At 41.2% G+C, this 19,602-nt stretch overlaps 1 pseudogene; it reads left to right on the top strand.

Moving 5' to 3' along the window:
* On the top strand, window positions 6,852-7,580 carry PPIAP87 (peptidylprolyl isomerase A pseudogene 87; annotated as a pseudogene).
* The last annotated feature ends 12,022 nt before the right edge of the window (window positions 7,581-19,602 follow it).

Raw genomic sequence — 19,602 nt, 5'->3', positions numbered from 1 at the left:
AGCACAGTTTTTATGGAAGACAAGTCAGCTTTCAGTTCTTCTGTCCAAGAGGAAAAATTTCTCTGTTCTGCAGAAAGTAGCAGCACCTGTCAATTCTGTATGTTCTGTTTTTGAAAGGCTTCAGCCTCACAAAACCCATATTGTCATTGTCATTATTATTATTATAGCTACTGATTATTAGAAGGTAATATGTATCAAGCAAGCTAACAATTATTTATTCCCCATTATATAGAGGAAGAAATTTAGTTTCACAGGAAAAGAAGTAATTCAAGAGGGGAGACTAAAGCAATGTCTTCTGAGGAACTAAAATTAAAAGGAGAAATATTTTAAATAATGATTTCTTTAATTGTGCAATTAAAAAACGTACTTATGTGCTTCTTGACTTCACACACACACACTGCTTCAGCAGCAAACACCAGAGCAGAGCACATATTTAGTGAGACTAACTCTATAAAATAGAAAGGGACAATGAGCATGCATCATCCGTATAAGCCACATGGATGACAATGTCAGTTGAGGGCACACCTTATACTGTTTTTCTGGAGCACAGTCTTAGTTTGTTTTCTACTGCTATAACAGAATACCCAGTTTATTAACAATAGAAATGTATTTGGCTTGTGGTTCTGAAGGCTGGGAAGTCCAAGGGCCTGGTACTGGCATCTGGTGAGAGCCTTTGTTCTGTGTTTTCTCATGGCTGAAGGTAAAATTTAGTACTCAAGACAGAGATAGGGGCTGGGTGCGATGGCTCATGCCTGTAATCCTAGCACTTTGGGAGGCTGAGGTGGGCATATTGCCTGAGCTCAGGAGTTCAAGACCAACCTAGAACAGTACAATCAAAATGGCGAAACCCATCTCTACTAAAAATACAAAAAATTAGCCAGGTATGGTGGCATGCACCTGTAGTCCCAGCTACTTGGGAGGCTGAGCACAAGAATTGCTGGAACCTAGGAGGTGGAGGTTGCAGTGAGCTGAGATTGCGCCACTGCACTCCAGCCTAGGCAACAGGGAGAGACTCTGTCAAAAAAAAAAAAAAAGACAGAGATAGGAAATTGGGCCAAAGTTATCCTTTTATCAAAATCCCACTCCAATAATAACTAACCTTCTCCTGCAATAATGGCATTAATTCATTCATGAAGGCTATGTAACTATGACCTAATCACCTCCTAAAGGTTCTACCTCTTAATACCGTCACAATGACAATTAAATGTCAACATGAGTTTTGGAGGGAACATTCAAACCATGGCAAGCACAAAATTAGTAATGATGGGTTGGAGATATTAAGGGACTTACTCTAACCACAAAACAAGTACACAATGTTTCAGTCAATGACAGACAACATGTACAACATGGTCCCATAAGATTTTAATGGAGCTGAAAAGGTCCTGTCACCTAGTGATGTTGTGGCCTTTATAATATTGTAGTGCAATGCATTATTCACATGTTTGTGATGATGCTGGTGTAAACAAACCTACTGTGTTGCTAGTTTTATAAAAGTATAGTATGTCGTGCCACTGCACTCCAGCCTGGACAATACAGCAAGACTCCATCTCAAAGAAAAAAAATAAGTATAGCACATACAATGATATACAGTACATGATACTTGATAATGATAGTAAATGTCTATGTTACTGGTTTATGTATTTACTATACTATACTTTTAATCATTATTTTAGAGTGTACTACTTCTACTTACATATTTTTTTAAAAGTTAACTGTAAAATAACCTCAGGCAGGTCCTGCAGGAGGTATTCCAGAAGAAGGTATTCTTTTCATAGCAGATGACAGCTCCATGAGTGTTATTGCCCCTGAAGTCCTTCCAGCGGGATAAGATGTGGAGGTGGAAAACAATGATATGGATGATCCTGACCTTGTGTAGGCCTAGGCTAGTGTGTCTGTGTCTTTGTTTTTAACAAATAAGTTTAAAAATTAAAAAAAAATTCTTAAATAGAAAAAAGTGTATAGAATAAAGATATAAAAAAAATTTGTATAGCTGTAAAATGTGTTTGTATTTTAAGCTAAGTGCCATTACAAAAGAGTCACACAAAGTTAAAAATAACTAAAAAGTTAATAAAACGAAAATGTTACAGTAAGCTGAGGTTAATTTATTATTGAAGAAAAAATTTTTAATGAATTTAATGTGGCCTAAGTGTACAGTGTTTATAAAGTCTACAGTAGTGTACAGTACTCACATTTATTCACCACTTACTCACTGACTCACCCACAGCAACTTCCAGACCTGCAAGCTCCATTCATGGTAAGGATCCTATACAGGTGTATTTTTGTTTTTAGACAGGATCTCATTCTGTCACCCAGGCTGTGGTGCAGTAGCACGATCATGGCTCACTGCAGCCTCAAACTCGTGGGCTCAAGCAATCCTCCTGCCTCAGTCTCCCCAGTAGCCCAGTCTCCACACTAGGCTAATTTTTTAATTTTTCTTTTGTAGAGACAGGGTCTCACTATGTTGACCAAGCTGGGTTAGAATTCCTGTCCTCAAATGATCCTCCTGCTTCAGCTTCCCAAAGTGTTGGGGTTACAGGCATGAGCCATGGTGCCTGGCCAGGTGTACATATTTTATCTTTTGTATATTTTTCTGTACCTTTTCTATCTTTAGATACACAAACACCACTGTGTTACAACTGCCTATAGTATTAAGTTTAGTAACATGCTATACAACTTTGCAGCCTAGGATACCATATAGCCTAAGTGTATAGTAGGCTATACCATACCATCTTGGTTTGTGTAAGTTACACTCTATGGTGTTCACACCACAAAGAAACCCCGAATGAAGCATTTCTCAGAACACATCCCCAACATTAAAACACGTGACTGCATTTAGTAAAGATTTAAACACAGCACTTACTGGCACTGAGGCTTATTGGCTTTCCTCCCCAGCGACTAGCCTCTTGCTTCCTGTACAGAAGCCACACTCGGGGATTTGTTTCTCCCTCCATGATAGGGATGGCGTTTTCCAGCCAGAATCTCAAGCCCTCTTGGGCTCTGTATAAGCCCTGGTGCTTTGTCTTCTCTGCCACACTTTCCCTTCTACTTCACTTTCATGCTTTGCCTTAGAAAGAAATCTCAGCCAATTGCTAGACATCTCCACATTCTGCTGCAAGGAATTCCGAACAGAGGACTAGAAAGTTACCTGTTTGTGACTTGGACAGAAGTAAAGACATCATGTATCTTTCCCTCCCCTCAACCCCTGTCATCAATAAACTAAATAATATTGCTTCCTTTGATTGTAAGTATTATTATTATTTCGGCTTACATGGGACCTGATCTTCTGCTTTGAAAAAAGAATGATTCACCTCATCTGCATGTTAATGTCTTCATTTGCACTGTGTGATTTGCTCCTCTTCCCTCACCCTCAATTCACTGCAAATTGAGAGGATTGCTAACAAATAGCAGTTGCACAAGAAAAAGGAAACCCACGTGTTCATGTTATTTCAAAAGTTTGTGTCATCTTCTTGCGCGCTCCCCAGGTTTGGAGCCGTCTTCATTTTCTTCTATCCGCTCCCACCACCAGCTTGTTTCCCTCTGCTACAATGCGCAATTTAGTATTTTCCCTATAATAGAAAACCCAAACATGGCAAAAATTCAAGATCTGAAGAAACACCTGGAAGATACCCTAAACAAAATCAAAAGTGAGAGTCTGTAGATGCAAGTTGCGGCCCATTGGCCTCTCCAGCCACGCCCACAGGGAAAAGAGCCAATAGGAGTCCTCAGCACTGAAATTAACATGCAGGAAAGACAGCCATTCCTATTCTGTGAGGATGCTATGGAATGTAGTGGAAAGAGTATAAGAGAATAGATTGCAAGGCCTGAAAGACCCACGTTTTAATCCTAGCTCTTTCACTTTGATCACTGGATTCTTTCGTGTGTTTATTTATTCAGTAAATATGTATTGAGAACCTACTATGTGCCAAGGTTCTAAATTTCAAAGATACAAGGAGGAACAGCAAGACATCTCTACTTTCAAGAAGATTAAGAGTATATTTGAGATAATGTTGGTCAATATACTTAATCTCCAAAATACTTACAGAATAAATAATACCGACCTCATAGGTAACAATTAAAACGGAATAATGTACGTAAAATGTTATTTGGTGCCATGAATATGATAAGCAACCATTATTACTCCTTATACCTCCTCCCCCATTCATCTGGTTTCCAAGTTCCTCCTTCAGTTATTCAAACACCTCTAAAAATGTCATTAACCCTGATAATCAATGGTATTCCAGATTGGTGTTTGTGATCCTGTGATTTCAAAGGCATGGGTACTTCCTGAAACTGGGCTGGAAAGAGTCTCTCTAAGATCTGAGCTCAAAGTACACTGAGGTCACACTTCAAACCTCCTACCAAGATAGAAAAACAGCAGTGGAGGAGAGGGGGTTTGGAGAGTGTTTAAATTATTTGGGGAGAAGATGTTATAAAATGTAACTGAGGCAATGCAGTTATTCAGATGTCTCAGCATATAGGACAATCTAGAAGAGAGGCATGTTATACTTTTATTATGTTCTTATTTAGTGTTTAAAAACATTTGAAATGATAAGCGTTGGAGATTTACTATGAAATACAGCAAATGCTTAGTATCTCTGTCCACTAAATTATGGCATGGCCTTAAAATTAAGTAAATGTTTATGTGTAAATTTCCAAAAGTTAGCTAGCACAGAAATTAATCTGGAAGAAAAAAAAGGGAATTTTGATTCTGAGTTAAAAAGTAGATCCTAGAGTTGTTTTCTTTTGCTTCAGGTTTTTATGCCTGCCCCCTAACACCTTTTAGTATGGATGTGAAACAAACATGCCTTTATATTTACCAAATAAGTAATCTGATCTTCAGCCAAAAAAAAAAAACAAAAAGTAATTGGCTCCTAATTACCAGGTATAATGCAAAGAAGTACCCATGGGGTGGTTTGTGTAAGTCCCCTGAATTTTCCAGGGAAGAAAACAACCAAGGAAAAAAGAGACTTTTGTTGCAGAAACCTTTGGCCAAATTAGAAACAGATTAAATATTGTGTTTATGGGGGAATTGTCTAGTCAAATACAGTCTACTCCTATGCCGGGGGCTGCTTCGAGGTAGGTCACTCAGTACATCCTTGTACTAAAGGGAACACGAAGCAGGGCATCACACAGCACCACACGCTAAGAACTTTGAACTGAGCATATGAAAACATTTACCTCTAGATTTAGTTGTAAGCTTTTTAGAATGCAATTTTTGTTTCTCAAGTTTGTGAAATCTCATTGTGTCCTGATATTTAGAAGTGAATCTTGTATCAAAAATTGTGTATTGTAAGTTGATAGAAACTCAGTCCATAAATTGCTTGGGAGATTTAAGGACTTGGTTTAACAGGGCAAGTGCCAAGAAATGTTATTTGACAACAAAATTCCACTCTTATTTTCAAAGGTTTTGTTTCTGATAATCCACAAAACTACATTCATTACCTTTGGCTTATGGCTTACACAGTGAATTAGTAGGAACCTAATACAATATGCTTTGATTTTTAAATAGTGTCAGTGTGGAGATATTGCACTGATGATTAGAAACATCCTCTGCTTTGTCAAATTAATTGTCTGTTAACATCCATCTGAAATATAGAACTGATTTCTTTTTGGGGGGCCTAGCAGTGATTGTCATAGATTGCTGTCCTTATTTTCATTATATATTTCCGAAAGAGATTAATAGTTAATTTTTATTTTAGTTCCTCCTAATTTGACAGCAATAGAAGATTTATGTTTGCATGAATGTCTATGATCCTTTAAGTTGGGTACAATGAAACATTTTTGTCCATTGGAGTTTGAAAGTACAGAAAGAAAGAATTAGCCATGGAGGAAAGAAAACAGAAAGGAGGTGTAGCAAGCTCTGTTGCTTGAGTATTCAACATCTGTTACTTCTCTCTTCCTAACAGACCCATATTTTGTTTAGGTCTCTACCCACCATAGAGGGTGTTATGTTTTCCTCTAATTTGGTATTGAGGCCTCTCTGAGGAGAGTGGCTATAAACTTTATCCCTGCTTTGATAGGGCAGGGCAGGGCAGGGCAGGGCTAGAGGAAGGTGCCAGGTGGAGCTCCAGGGGAGGTGGTCGTGGATGTTTATACTGTGCCTTTCACAGGACCCTTTCAAATCCTGGTGCTTAAGTGTCTGACCCACGTGCAGGGGTCCCTCCCACAGGAAACTTGCTCATACTGGCAGATGCCCTTGTGGCTCTTGTGTAAACTGTGTCCAATTTCTTTCTACCAAGACAGCCAGACTCTAGGAGGGCGCTGACCAGGACAAAAGTTAAGTTTGGCTGTGTCGGTCAGATGAAACACAGAGGAGCAGTATATTACTAACAGATTCCAAAGGGAAGAGGGCAGCACGCCTTGCAGGGCCAAAAGAAAGGGGGAAAGCTGTCTGGAACATGCACACTTAACCAGCAGGGGGATAGCAAGAGAGAGAGAAAGAGACCTCTGGGGCAAAGCCTTTATTCTGGTCCAGCATGTTACCCAAGCAGGTTTCCCATGATGAGTTCTAATTGGTGGGTTTATAGCAAGCAGGTACAAGGTCCATGAAGTCACACTGTGACCAAGAGGTGATCACTGTGGCATATCTGGGCAGTCCACCCACGGCGTGGGGGGTCAGTGGGGTAAGTCAAGTAGGTTGCATCTAGCCATCCCATAAAAAGGTGGTCACCAGGAGGCAGTTGTATAAAGCGCGTATCTGGATTGACCTACCTTGAGGAACTGGGAAGAGGTAGAGTTTGGAAGAATTGCAATCTGTGTCAAAGACGTCTAAGCCCTGCTTCTAGTATGAGTGACTCCAACTTATATTGAAAATGAATGCTGAGGCAACATGAAATTAATACAAATTCGGCTTTGCAGACGCCGATGCCTCCCAGAGCCCTCTGCCACCAGCCATAGTCAACCCCATCATGTTCTTCAACATCGCCATCATCAGCGAGCTTTTAAGCAGAATCTCCTTGGAGCTGTTTGCAAAGTTCCAAAGACAGCAGAAACTTTCATGCTCAGAGCACTAGAGAGAAAGGATTTGGTTATAAGGGTTCCTGCTTTCACAGAATTATTCCAGGGTTTATGTGTCAGGCTGGTGACTTCACAAACCATAATGGCACTGGCAGCAAGTCACTCTATGGGGAGAAATTTGATCATGAGAACTTCATTCTGAAGCATACAGGTCCTGGCATCTTGTCCATGGCAAATGTTGGACTCAACACAAATAGCTCTCAGTTTTTCATCTGCACTGCCAAGACTGAGTGGTTGGATGGCAAGCATGTGGTCTTTGGCAAGGTGAAAGAAGGCATGAGTATCATGGAGGCCATGGAGCGCTTTGGGTCCAGGAATGGCAAGACCAGCAAGAAGATCACCATTGCTGACTGTGGACAACTCTAACAAATTTGACTTGTGTTTTATCTTAACCACCAGACCATTCCTTCTGTAGCTCAGGAGAGCACCTTTCCACCCCATTTGCTCATAGTATCCTATAATCTTTGTGTTCTCACTTCAGTTCTTTTGGGTTCCATATTTTCCTTATTTCCTTCCATGCCCAGCTGGATTGCAGACTTAAGTTTATTATTATGAAATAAGAAATAAATAACAACAACAACAACAAATTATAAGAACTTACAGATGGACACTGTGGCTCATGTCTGTAATCCCAGCACTGGGGGAGGCCGAGGGGGGAGGATCATTTGAGGCCAGGAGTTCAAGATTAGCCTGGGCAAAAATAATAAAACTAGCTGGGCATGGTGGCTCATGCCTGTGGTCTTAGCTGCTCAGTAGGCTGAGTTGGGAGGATCACTGAACCCGGGAGAAGTGGAGGCTGCAGTGAACAAAGATCAGGCCACTGCACTCCAGCCTGGGCAACAGAATGAGATACTGTCTCAAAAAGAAAAAAATTCACTACAGAAGATGACTCTATCTTCAGAATTATATCTAAGATCAAAAACATTTTAGGCTACGACTTAGAGTAAGAAACAAACTTTGCATGGCAACCTAGCACACACATGCATCTACATAACTTTAGAGAAAATGGAAAAGAAAACTTAATGAAATAATATTCACCTTTGTAATGTGCATTATGCTCTGGTATGGTTCTTCTATTTCATTTTCTAATGATGACTCTGATTCACTGAATTTCATTTCCCAGCCAACTAATGGATCATAAGGCAAAAACACTGGTTTAAACCTGTCATGTCAACACCACTCTTCTTAGCAATTTTTCAGTCTTAAAAGAAAACTAAAAGAGTGAGCTTATGAATTGGAAAAACTCAATATTAACATGTCAATTCTCCCCAAATTGATCTATAGGTTCAACACAGTCTCAAGCAAAATATCAGAAATTTTTTGTATATATGGATAAGCTGATGCTACAAGTTATATGATGGGCAAAGGAAAGAGATTAGAGAAAACAATTTTGCAAAAGAAAAACAGATGATAAATTTATACTTATGACTTCAAGACTTACTGTGATAAGCTGCAGTAATCAAGATAGTTTGATATTGGTGAGACATGAAATCACAAACACAAATCAGTGCAACAGAGTAGAGTCCAGAAGCAGATCCACACAAATCAGCTCTACCCATTTTGACTGAGGGACAAAGGAAATTCAAAGAAAGGATGATCTTTTCAATTGATGGTGCTGAAAAATCAGACATCCATAAGCAAAAACATTGCATTTCTTCCTATGCCTCCTATGTTATAAAAAAAAAAGCTAATTTAAAATGGAGCCCAGATCTAAATGGAAAACTTAGAACTTTTAGAAGAAAACCTTTGTGAGCTTGGGTTAGGAAAGGACTTGTTCAGTTTGACAACCAAAGCACAATCAATGAAAGAAAAAGTGATAAGTTTGACTTCACCAAAATTAAAATCCTGGGCCAGGCACGCCTGGCTCACGCCTGGCTCACGCCTGTAATCTCAGCACTTTGGGAGGCCAAGGCAGGAGGATTGCTTGAGCCCAGGAGTTCGAGATTAGCCTGGGCAACATAGTAAGACCCTGTCTCTATGTTTTTTTTTTTTTTTAATTAAAATCTTTTGCTTCATAAAAGGTAGCTTTAGGCAAATGAAAAGACAATCCACAGGCTATGAAGGATACATGGGCAAAACACATATACAACAAAGAACTCACATCCAGAATATATAAAGAACTTTCAAAACTCAACAGTAAGAAAAGATAAAAGTAAAAACATGGGCAAAACATTTGAACAAGATCTTTATTAAAGAAGGTATATAGATGGCAAATAAGCACATGAAAGGATGCTAAACTCAGTTTGCATCAGGGAAATGCAAATTAAAACCACAGTAATATACCATTACACATCTATTAGAATGGCTGACTTTTAAAAATGATAATATTAAGTGCTGTTGAAGATGCAGAACAATTGTCACTTGTATACAATGCTAGCTCTGTTATAGTGGGTAGCTAGTCAGACATGAGCTGGGCAGGAGAGGGCTCCCCCAACCCCACCAGGAATGTTAGGCAATCATCAGGTGATGGTCAGGTGACTGTTACATTGTTTCTCTAAAATAATAATTGATGCCAGCTAGCGCCAGGGAAAGGTAGTCTCCCAGTAGACAGAAAAAAACTTGCGTGATCAGCAGCTTCCCGATAAGATCTCAGGAGTTGGGCGAGTGGGCTCAAACATGAGCACTAAGCGGCAAAATGGTGGTTTAACTGGTATAAGACCTTCTAGAAGCATTCAACGGGTAAGGGAAGACTACCTCAAGTAAGCATGCATACAACTCCAGTAAATACACTGCACATGTTGTAGCAGGCCACCGTGCATGCAGACAGCCCACCCCAAGAAAGAATCATGCCAACATATAAAACCCCAAGTCAGGCTGGGTGCGGTGGCTCACGCCTGTAATCCCTGCACTTTGGGAGGCCAAGGCAGGCGGATCTCCTCAGGTCAGGAGTTCGAGACCAGCCTGACCAACATGGTAAAACCCTATGTCTACTAAAAAAAATACAAAAATAAGCCGGGCATGGTGGCGGGTGCCTGTAACCCCAGCTGCTCGGGAGACTGAGGCAGGAGAATCACTTGAACCCAGGAGGTGGAGGTTGCAGTGAGCCGAGATGGCACCACTGCACTCCAGCCTAAGCAGCAGAGTGAGACTCCGTCTCAAAAAAAAACAAAAAAAAACCCAAGTCAAAGGTCAAACAGTGCCCTTGATCTCTCAAGTTGCCGGGTTGGCCCTCTTTCAGGTGTACTTTACTTCCTTTAATTTCTCTTGTAAAGCTTTTTAACAAACTTTCACTCCTGCCCTAAAACTTGTCTTGGTCTTCTCTCATTCCTTATGCCTTTTGGGTTGAATTCTTTCTTCTGAGGGGGCAAGAATTGAGGTTGCTGCCGATCCCTAAGGATTTGCTGCCAGTAACAGTAGGAATGCAAAATGGTGCAACCACTTTTTGCAGTTTCTGATAAAGCTAAACATACTCTTACCATATGACTTGGTACCATGTCATATGGTAAGAGTATGTACCATACTTCTACGTATTTACCCAAAAACTCCCCATAAATTTATGTTGACACAAACCCATAAATTTATGTTCACTGCCGAGCACGGTGGCTCACGCCTGTAATCACAGCACTTTGGGAGGCCAAGGTGGGCGGATTATCTGAGGTCAGGAGTTCGAGACCAGCCTGACAAACATGGAGAAACCCTATCTTTACTAAAAATACAAAATTAGTTAGGCATGGTGGCTCATACCTGTAATCCCAGCTACTCAGGAGGCTGAGGCAGGAGAATCACTTGAACCGGGAGGCAGAGGTTGCAGTGAGCCAAGATCATGCCATTGCACTCCACCCCGGGCAACATAAGCAAAACTCCATCACACACAAAAAAATACTATAAGCAAATACTTATAGCAGTTTTATTCATAACTGCCCCAAACTGGAAATGATCCAACTATCATTGAACTAGGAAATAGAAAAAGAAATTAATCTATCCATGTGTGAGACCAAATATATGCCACCAAAATATGACTGTAGGAGACTAGAATATGCAACCCCAAAATATGTCTTTTTGGCATGTTAAAAGAAAAACCTTAGACAAATTAAATTTAACAGAGTTTAATTGATCAAGCAACAATTCACAAATTGGGCAGCCCCCAAGCTAGAATAGTGCAGAGAGACTCGGAGCTGCCTTGTGGTCAAAGAAGATTTATGGACAGAAAAAGGAAAATGATGCACAGAAAATGGTAGTGAGGTACAGAAACAGCTGGATTAGTTACAGCTTAGCCTTTGCTTTATTTGAACAGTTGGCCACCTTTGATTGGCCAAAACTTTGTGATTGGCACGAGAGTAGGTTACAGTCTATTTACACATCCAGTTATGTTAAAGTTCACTCTGTACAGAGAAACCTTTAGGCCAAACATAAAATGTCAGGAGGCAGCTTTAGGCTAAACTTGATTTAACAGGCATGAGGATGATTTTAATGATTATTTTGAGAGACTGCAGTCACAAGAGAAGCTCTAAAGCAGAAGTTAGCTTTTTGTAAGGGAAATTTACATCTATAAAGGAAATTTTCATTTGCAAGGGTGTCTTACTCTATTCTCTGCAACAGGAAGAGAAGGATGACTAAAAATCACTGGAGGCTCTAATCAATGGAGAAGGCACTTAGACTTACATCTGCAAAACACCTTGCTCTTGTTTACACTTTTCCTGATCACCTCCCCACAACTGGCCTTCCTTCCACACTCTTCTGTCTTTCCTTTAGGGGATGATGGTATGTCAGCCTGAACCCAAAGCCATCTCTTTGAGATTTACCCATTTTTCCCTTGGTAGATGGGGAAACCATGTATATATACAAGGTATGCATGTGGATAAACTTCTATTTCTTTTTTCTCTTGTTAATCTACTTTTTGTTACAGGGGTAGCTTTCAACTAAGAACAATGAAGGGTGGGGAGAAAACTAGGTTTCCTCACTGATATGGTTTGCCTGTGTCCCCACCCAAATCCCATCTTGAATTGTAGCTCCCATAATTCCCACGTGTTGTTGGAGGGACCCAGTGGGAGATAACTGAATCATGGGGGTGGTTTCCCTGTTGTGAATAAGATCTGATGGTTTTATAAGGGGAAACTCCTTTCGCTTGGTTCTCATTCTCTCTTGTCTGCTGCCATGTAAGACTTGCCTTTTGCCTTCTGCCATGACGGTGAGGCCTCCCCAGCCACTTGGAACTGAGTCCATTAATCTTTTTCTTTATAAATTACCCAGTCTTGGGTATGTCTTTATCAGCAGCTTGAAAACAGACTAATACCCTTCCCATTTACATATGATGGAATATTGCACACCAATAAAAAGAAAAAACTATTAATAAACATAAGCAAAAATGTTGTTTAAATTCAAATGCATTGTGCTGAATGAAATAAGCCAGACCCCAAAGGTTATATGCTGTAAGAATTCATTGTGGAAAAGGCAAAGCTATGGGGTCAAAAAAGTAGTCAGTAGTTGCCAGGGTAAGGGCTGGAGGGACGGTTAACTACAAAAGGACAGCCCCAAAATTTTTGAGGATAATAAAACTGCTTTTTATCTTGAACAGTGGAGATTACTACATATTTGTCAAAACTCAAAGGCCTCTACAATATAAAGTGAACTTTACTAAATGTAAATTTAAAAGTAAATTTTTTTAAATTTAAAATGAAACACAAAGGAAGAGACAGTGCCTTTTTCTGCTTGATGATGTGCTGGATGCAATGTCTAGAATAAGGGCAGCCATTTTGTCACTGTGAGGCAGCCAGATTGAGAACAAAGCTAATACAGGCAGGTGGCCAGGCAGAAAAGATGAAAGAACCCAGGTATTCAAAGATGTTACTGAGCCACTTGTTATCCAATCCTGAGCCCACTCATCTTTGAACTTATTATGTGAAATAATGATCATTTTCTTTCTGTTTAGGTCATCTTGAATTGGGCTGTTATTTGCAGTCCAAAGTATCCTGTTCCAGAAGTTCTCAATGACTTTGTTTCAAAAATTGCTTTATCCCCATCATTAAAAAAATAGGGTTTAGGGGTCTGTTGAAGGTTTTGAATAATTTACAACTTGTGTTTAGATCCAGCTTATACAGTACCATTTCTTTCTTTCTTCTTCTTCTTCTTTTTGTTTTTTCTTTTGAGGCAGGATCTTGCTACGTTGCCCAGGCTGGACTAAAATTCCTGGGCTCAAGTGATCCTTCCACCTCAGCCTCCTGTGTAGCTTCCTCCACAAACTGGAAGAAGGTGGCCAAACGTGACCCACAAATTAATCTATTTTCTTTCTTTTTTCTTTTGAGATGGAGTCTTGCTCTGTTCCCCAGGCTGGAGTGCAATGGCACAATCTTGGCTCACTGCAACCTCTGCCTCCCGGTTTCAAGCAGTTCTCCTGCTTCAGCCTCCCAAGTAGCTGGGATTACAGGTGCGCACCACCATGCCCAGTTAAATTTTTTGTATTTTTAGTAGAGACGGGATTTCACCATGCTGGCCAGGCTGGTCTCGAACTCCTGACCTCGTGATCTGCCCGCTTTGGCCTCCCAAGCAGTTCTCCTGCCTCAGCTTCCCAAGTAGCTGGGATTACAGGTGCGCACCACCATGCCCAGCTAAATTTTTTGTATTTTTAGTAGAGACGGGATTTCACCATGCTGGCCAGGCTGGTCTTGAACTCCTGACCTCGTGATCCACCTGCTTCGGCTTCCTAAAGTGCTGGGATTACAGGCGTGAGCCACCGCGCCTGCCCAGTTAATTGATTTTCTTCACGAGTACTTTATGTGTCTTCTCATCTTTTTTCACAAGAGTCAAAGTGCATTAATTATAATTAAAAAGAATAATGGCATACATGACCTTAAATTTGAATAATTTTGAAATCAAAGAGAATTAATTTCAAATATTTATTTGGCATATACTCAATGTCAGACCCTATGAAGCAGCATCATTTGTTTGGGGTAGTACTGGAGGTTCATTGTCTCATACCAAGGAAATCAAGGACATGGACACATGTGGAGCGAGATTAAGAGCAGAGGTTTAATAGGCAAAAGAAAAAGAAAGGAGAATAGCTCTCTCCTGTGAGAAAGAAGAGCCCCCACGTGGAACTTCCAGCCTAAAGCAGAATGCACTGGATTTTATAGACAGGCGTGAGGAGGCGGAGTCTGATTTACATAGGGCCCAAAGATTGGTTAGAGCAGGTTCTTCCTTTACAAAGCACGCTGGGAAGCTGGACACCCAACCCTAGTCTTATTATGCAAATGAGCTTTCCACTTGGCCAGGCCATGTTGTCTGCTCCCTACTGCACACATGGTTGGAAAGGAAGAGGGAAGTTGGAACTGCCATTTTGAACATGCCTAGTCCCAGGTGGACTTTTCCTATTGGCACAACTGCCAGCATTCACCCGTGCAAGCTTCTAGCCTGCCTTTCTGTGTCTGCAGCTCGATTTTATAGGCTGCTCTTTGTTAGAAAAGAAAATGATTTGGGGGCTGCTTTTCATTAAAAGGAAAACCTTACGGAGGGCTTCCTTACTCTCACTCTCTGCCTAAATAATTTCTTCCTAACTCCTATATAACCTATGAGATGTAGTAATAAATCTAGCAGTGCCCCAGTTCTTACTGAGCATACAGTCAAGTAGGATAGATAGACATTGACCAGGTAATTCCAAATGTGACAAGCATTATAAACAAAAGAAGGACAGGATGTGTTGGATACATATATCAGGTGTATGAAAACCAGCTCAGATGTGCCAAGAATTCCCCTGAAAGTGACATTTAGGCCAAGATCCAAGGCAGAAGCCAGCAAGACAGGGGATAGGGGAGTGAGGCAAAAAGATGAAAGGCTATTTTGGTGCGAGTGATGCATGATGTGAGGGACCAGTCTGAAGCAAAGACAATTTAAGGCAGCCACCTTGATGCAGCTCTTTTCATTTAGGGAATATTTTTAAACTGCAGTTTTGACAAAAATGTGTTGATTTTAAAATTATTCTTTTTGCGCCGGGTGCAATAGCTCATGCCTGTAATCCCAGCACTTTGGGAGGCTGAGGCAGGTGGATAACCTGAGGTCAGGAGTTCAAGACCAGCCTGGCCAACCTCGTCTCTACCCAAAATACAAAAATTAGCTAGGCGTGGTGGTGCATGCCTGTAGTCCCAGCTACTCGAGAGGCTGAGGCAGAAGAATTGCTTGAATTGGGGAGACAGAGGTTGCAGTGAGCCAAGATTGTACCACTGCACTCCAGCCTGGGCAACAGAGCAAGACTCCATTTCAAAAAAATTCTCAATAAAATCAATCAATCAATCAATAAGTAAATGTATTCTTTTTATTACCAGTGATGCCTGCAATAGAGCTTCTTTACTCTTAACCCTGTGGTTCTCAACTAAAGGTACTTTTGCTTCTCAGGACACACTTGGCAAAGTCTGGAGATACTTTTGGTTGTCACAGCTGAAAGGGGGTTCTACTAGTATCTAATGGGTGTGGGACAGGGATGCTGCTCAGCATCCTACAATGCAGTAAAGCATTAGCAAATATATTTGCTATACTCCGGGAAGTGGAGGGGTCTTTTGAAGGTTTTGAATAATTTACAACTTGTGTTTAGATCCAGCTTATACAGTATTATATTTTAATACTGTATAAGCTGATTGCTATATTTTAGCAATCATTTTTAGCTAAAATTTCTTCTCTCCTCTTTATCCCTGCAACAGTTCCCTGCAATACTGAGTATAAATCTGATATATATTATAATTAGAAAGCCTGCAATAAGAAGTATGCATTTAAAAGCTGTATTAATGGAAAGCAAACTGCTATTATTGAGACAAATATATAGTTTTTACTGTGCAGTCCATGAAGCCAAATTCTTAAGTCCAAATTCTTAGAGTCATCACTGGACTTGACAGTTCTTTCTGGACAAGCCAGTCTAGCGATCTGTAGTCTTCTATTTGTGATCTATTGGTCTAATTCCCACCCATCCTTCACTACAGCCAGAAAAGCCACTTCATGTGGGACCTCTTCCCCAGAGAATGGGGTCAGTGATTAAAAAAATCTTGGGGAGAGAGGAAGCCTGTCTTACTGACTATATAATGACTAATGATTGCTTTATTTTTTAGCCTGTGTCAGGTGGTCCCAAATCATAATAACCTAATCAGCATCATGTGGTGCCAAACAGTAAGTAACTGATCAAAGTGGGACACAGGAGCCACCCTGAAGGAGCTCTCACTGGCCAAATCTGGAATAACTGAGCACAAAAATAGTAAGAGTAACAGAACCCATGTGTTCATTACAATATCTTGAAAATTTTAAATGGAATGGAACAGGGCAAAAAGAAACTTCTTCTTTGCATAAAAATACCAGCTAATAAATGGAGAATAAATGATTGAATTAGAAAATCACCAGTTTGCAACAGTTGATTCAGCCAAGAATTATCAATGAATATTAATATTCATTGATGCTTTGAGATGGGGGTTAGGACAGGATTTCTCAAAAATCTTTTTTTTTTTTTTTTTTTGAGACAGAGTTTTGCGCTTGTTGCCCAGGCTGGAGTATAATGGCTCCATCTCGGCTCACAGCAACCTCCGCCTCCCGGGTTCAAGCGATTCTCCTGCCTCAGCCTCCCAAGTAGCTGGGATTACAGGCATGGGCCACCATGCCTGGCTAATTTTGTATTTTTAGTAGAGACGAGGTTTCTCCATGTTGGTTAGGCTGGTCTTGAACTCCCAACCTCAGGTGATCCGCCTGCCTCAGCCTCCCAAAATGCTGGAATTACAGGCGTGAGCCACCACGCCCAGCCTTCTCAAAAATCTTAAAATCTTTGAGTGAGGCTGGGTGCGGTGGCCCATGCTGGGAATCCCAGCCCTTTTGAGGCTGGGGCAGGATGATCTCTTGAGGTCAGGAGTTTGAAACAAGTCTGGGCAACATAGCTAGACTCCTGTCTCTACAAAAAATGAAAATGATTAGCCAGGCATGGTGAGTGTGTGCCTGTAGTCCTAGCTAACTTGGGAGGCACAGGCAAGAGAATCTCTTGAGCCTAGGAGTTCAAGGATGCAGTCAGCTATGATGGTACCACAGCACTCCAGCCTGGGTGAGAGAGCAAGATCCTGTCTCAGAAAAAAAAAAAAATGCATATATATACGTATATATACGTATATATGTGTATATATTTGAGTGAAAAGATTTTGATTTTGGGAAATCAGATATTCAAAATATCACACAAAATATCTTTGCAATGAAGAAATATGACAAACCTCACCAACTTTGACCTCAGCAATGATGGAACAAACACATCGTGGACTTCCTGATGTAATAAACTAAGGACACAAAATGGCCATCATAGCTGCTGTATAATAAAGAATTTGTCTGGTGTTTATCCATGATTTTTGCTATGGAGCTTTTATAACCCTTGGTTATACATTTATTAAATGTATCACCTCTGAGTTTATGCAAAAGAAGTAACTCAGTGTGGGTCCCCAGATGGCTTCAGGATGGGGACTAGTTATCTGTAAGACCAACCACATGATTAGAGGATTGGGACTTTCAGCCAGCACATCCTCTGGGAAGGGGGAGGGGGCTGGAGACTGAGTTCATTCTGGTGGACAATTGAAGGCAGTCTTCTTGGGAACTATGTCCTTTGCTTGTGGGATCTACGCTAACTCCAGGTGGTTAGTACCAGAATTGAATTGCTGTACACCATTGAATGTCAAGATAATAGCCTTTTTACCAATAATACTTAACTTGGATCCAAACACAAAACAATCAGACAAAAACAAATAAGGAATATTCTGCAAAATAACCCGCCTAGGCTCTTCAGAAGTGGCAATGTCAAGAAAGACACACACACACACATGCACAAACACACATACACATACATGTGAACACACACACACAAATACAAAGACTGGGGAAATGTTCTAGATTCAAGGATACTAAGGAAACATAACAACTAAGTGAGATGTGATCTTTAGATCCTGAACTGTAAAAACAAACAAAAACAAGAGCTTGAGGGCTTTGAAGAAGAATGTCCTTGTTTTTAGGAGATACATGAGAAGGATTTAACAGTAACTTGTCATCATGATGCCTGCAACTTAATCTCAAACGCTTCAGCAAAAACAAACTAGGACACAGTGAGAGAGGGAGAGATGGAGAGAGAGGGAGACAGAGAAATGGAGGAGAATGCTAACAAATGGCAATCTAGGTGAATGGTTGGTCACTGTCTGTTCTTTCAAAATTTTTAAAAATAAAAAGTTGGCCAGGCGCAGTGACTCACACCTGTAATCCCAGCACTTTGGGAGGCCAAGGCGGGTGAATCATTTGTGGTCAGGAGTTCAAGACCAGTCTGGCCAACATGGTGAAACCCTGTTTCTACTAAGAATACAAAAATTAGCCAGGGTGGGCGCCTGTAATCCCAGCTACTCGGGAGGCTGAGGCAGGAGAATCGCTTGAGCCTGGGAGGCAGAGGTTGCTGTGAGCCAAGATAGTGCCAATGCACTGCAGTCTGGGTGACAGGGTGAGACCCTGTTGCAAAAAGAAAAAACAACAACAACAAAAAAAATAAAATAAAAAGTTGGGGGAAAATTACTTCATTGAGTGGCCTACCTCAACATGTCCCCTGCATCAAAAGGCTACCTTGAGCACAATGTTGGGAATGTACTTAACACCGCTGAAATGTTCACTTAGAAATGGCTGAAATGGTAATTTTTATGTTATTATTATTTGAGACAGGCTGTCACTCTGTTGCCCAGAATGGAGTGCAGTAGCCCAGTCACAGCTCACTGCAGCCTCGACCTCCTAGGCTCAAGCAATCCTCCCACTTCAGCCTCCCGGGTAGTTGGGATTACAGATGCATGCCACTATAGCCAGCTAATTTTTTCAATTTTTTTGCAGAAACAAGGGGTCACTATATGGCCCAGGCTGGTCTCATGGGCTCAAGAGATCCTCCTGCCTCAGCCTCCTAAAGTGCTGGGTTTACAGGCATGAGTCTCCATGCTCTACCAAATTTTATGTTTATTTGATCACAGTTTTTTTTAAGGCTGTGTCAAAATGTCTGCATTCAATCTTATTCTCTCCCCACAGGAGGAGCAGTGATGTGAGGCCCAAACAGTGAAGTCCTGTTGGACAGGCACAGAGAAGGTCAAAAGCCGAGGCCTGAAAGGGACACGAGCCAGATCAGGCACAGCTGTGAAGCCACAAAGGTTTACTGCAGCCGACTGGCTGGATCAGGACCCTGCTTTTCTAGATAATTCCAGCCGGCCGCAGTGCAAGCTGCTTTGGCATGGCGTCCATCTCCTCAATGGCCTAGTGTGTGGACCTTCCTCTCCACTCTGGTGGGCACCTGGCCAGGAAAAGTTTTCTGGTGCCAGTTCTAACACAGGGGACCCAGGTGTCTGGGACATTTTTATTTTGTCTCGGTTTTGAATGGAAAAGCGAGTGAAAGAACAATGTGGGCACAAGTCCAGATAGATCATGCTGCCAGCCTGGCAGCTCCTGGAGGAGCCTCCTGAGGCTCCAAGTCCAGACTTCTGCAGGAAACAGGCCTGGCAGGGGCTTCTGTTAGCCCAGCCCCATCGTCAACTTGAAAGTAGGAGGTGGCCAGAAATACCGTCACCAAAGGTTGCTCTTTTTGCCTTTCCTTGCCTACTGGGGTTCTTCGTAATTGTCCAAGTTGCACAT

The sequence above is a fragment of the Homo sapiens genome, chromosome 9 (assembly GCF_000001405.40).
Source record: "Homo sapiens chromosome 9, GRCh38.p14 Primary Assembly".
NCBI classification, from domain to species: Eukaryota; Metazoa; Chordata; class Mammalia; order Primates; family Hominidae; genus Homo; species Homo sapiens.
This window is presented reverse-complemented; position numbering and strand designations above follow the sequence as displayed.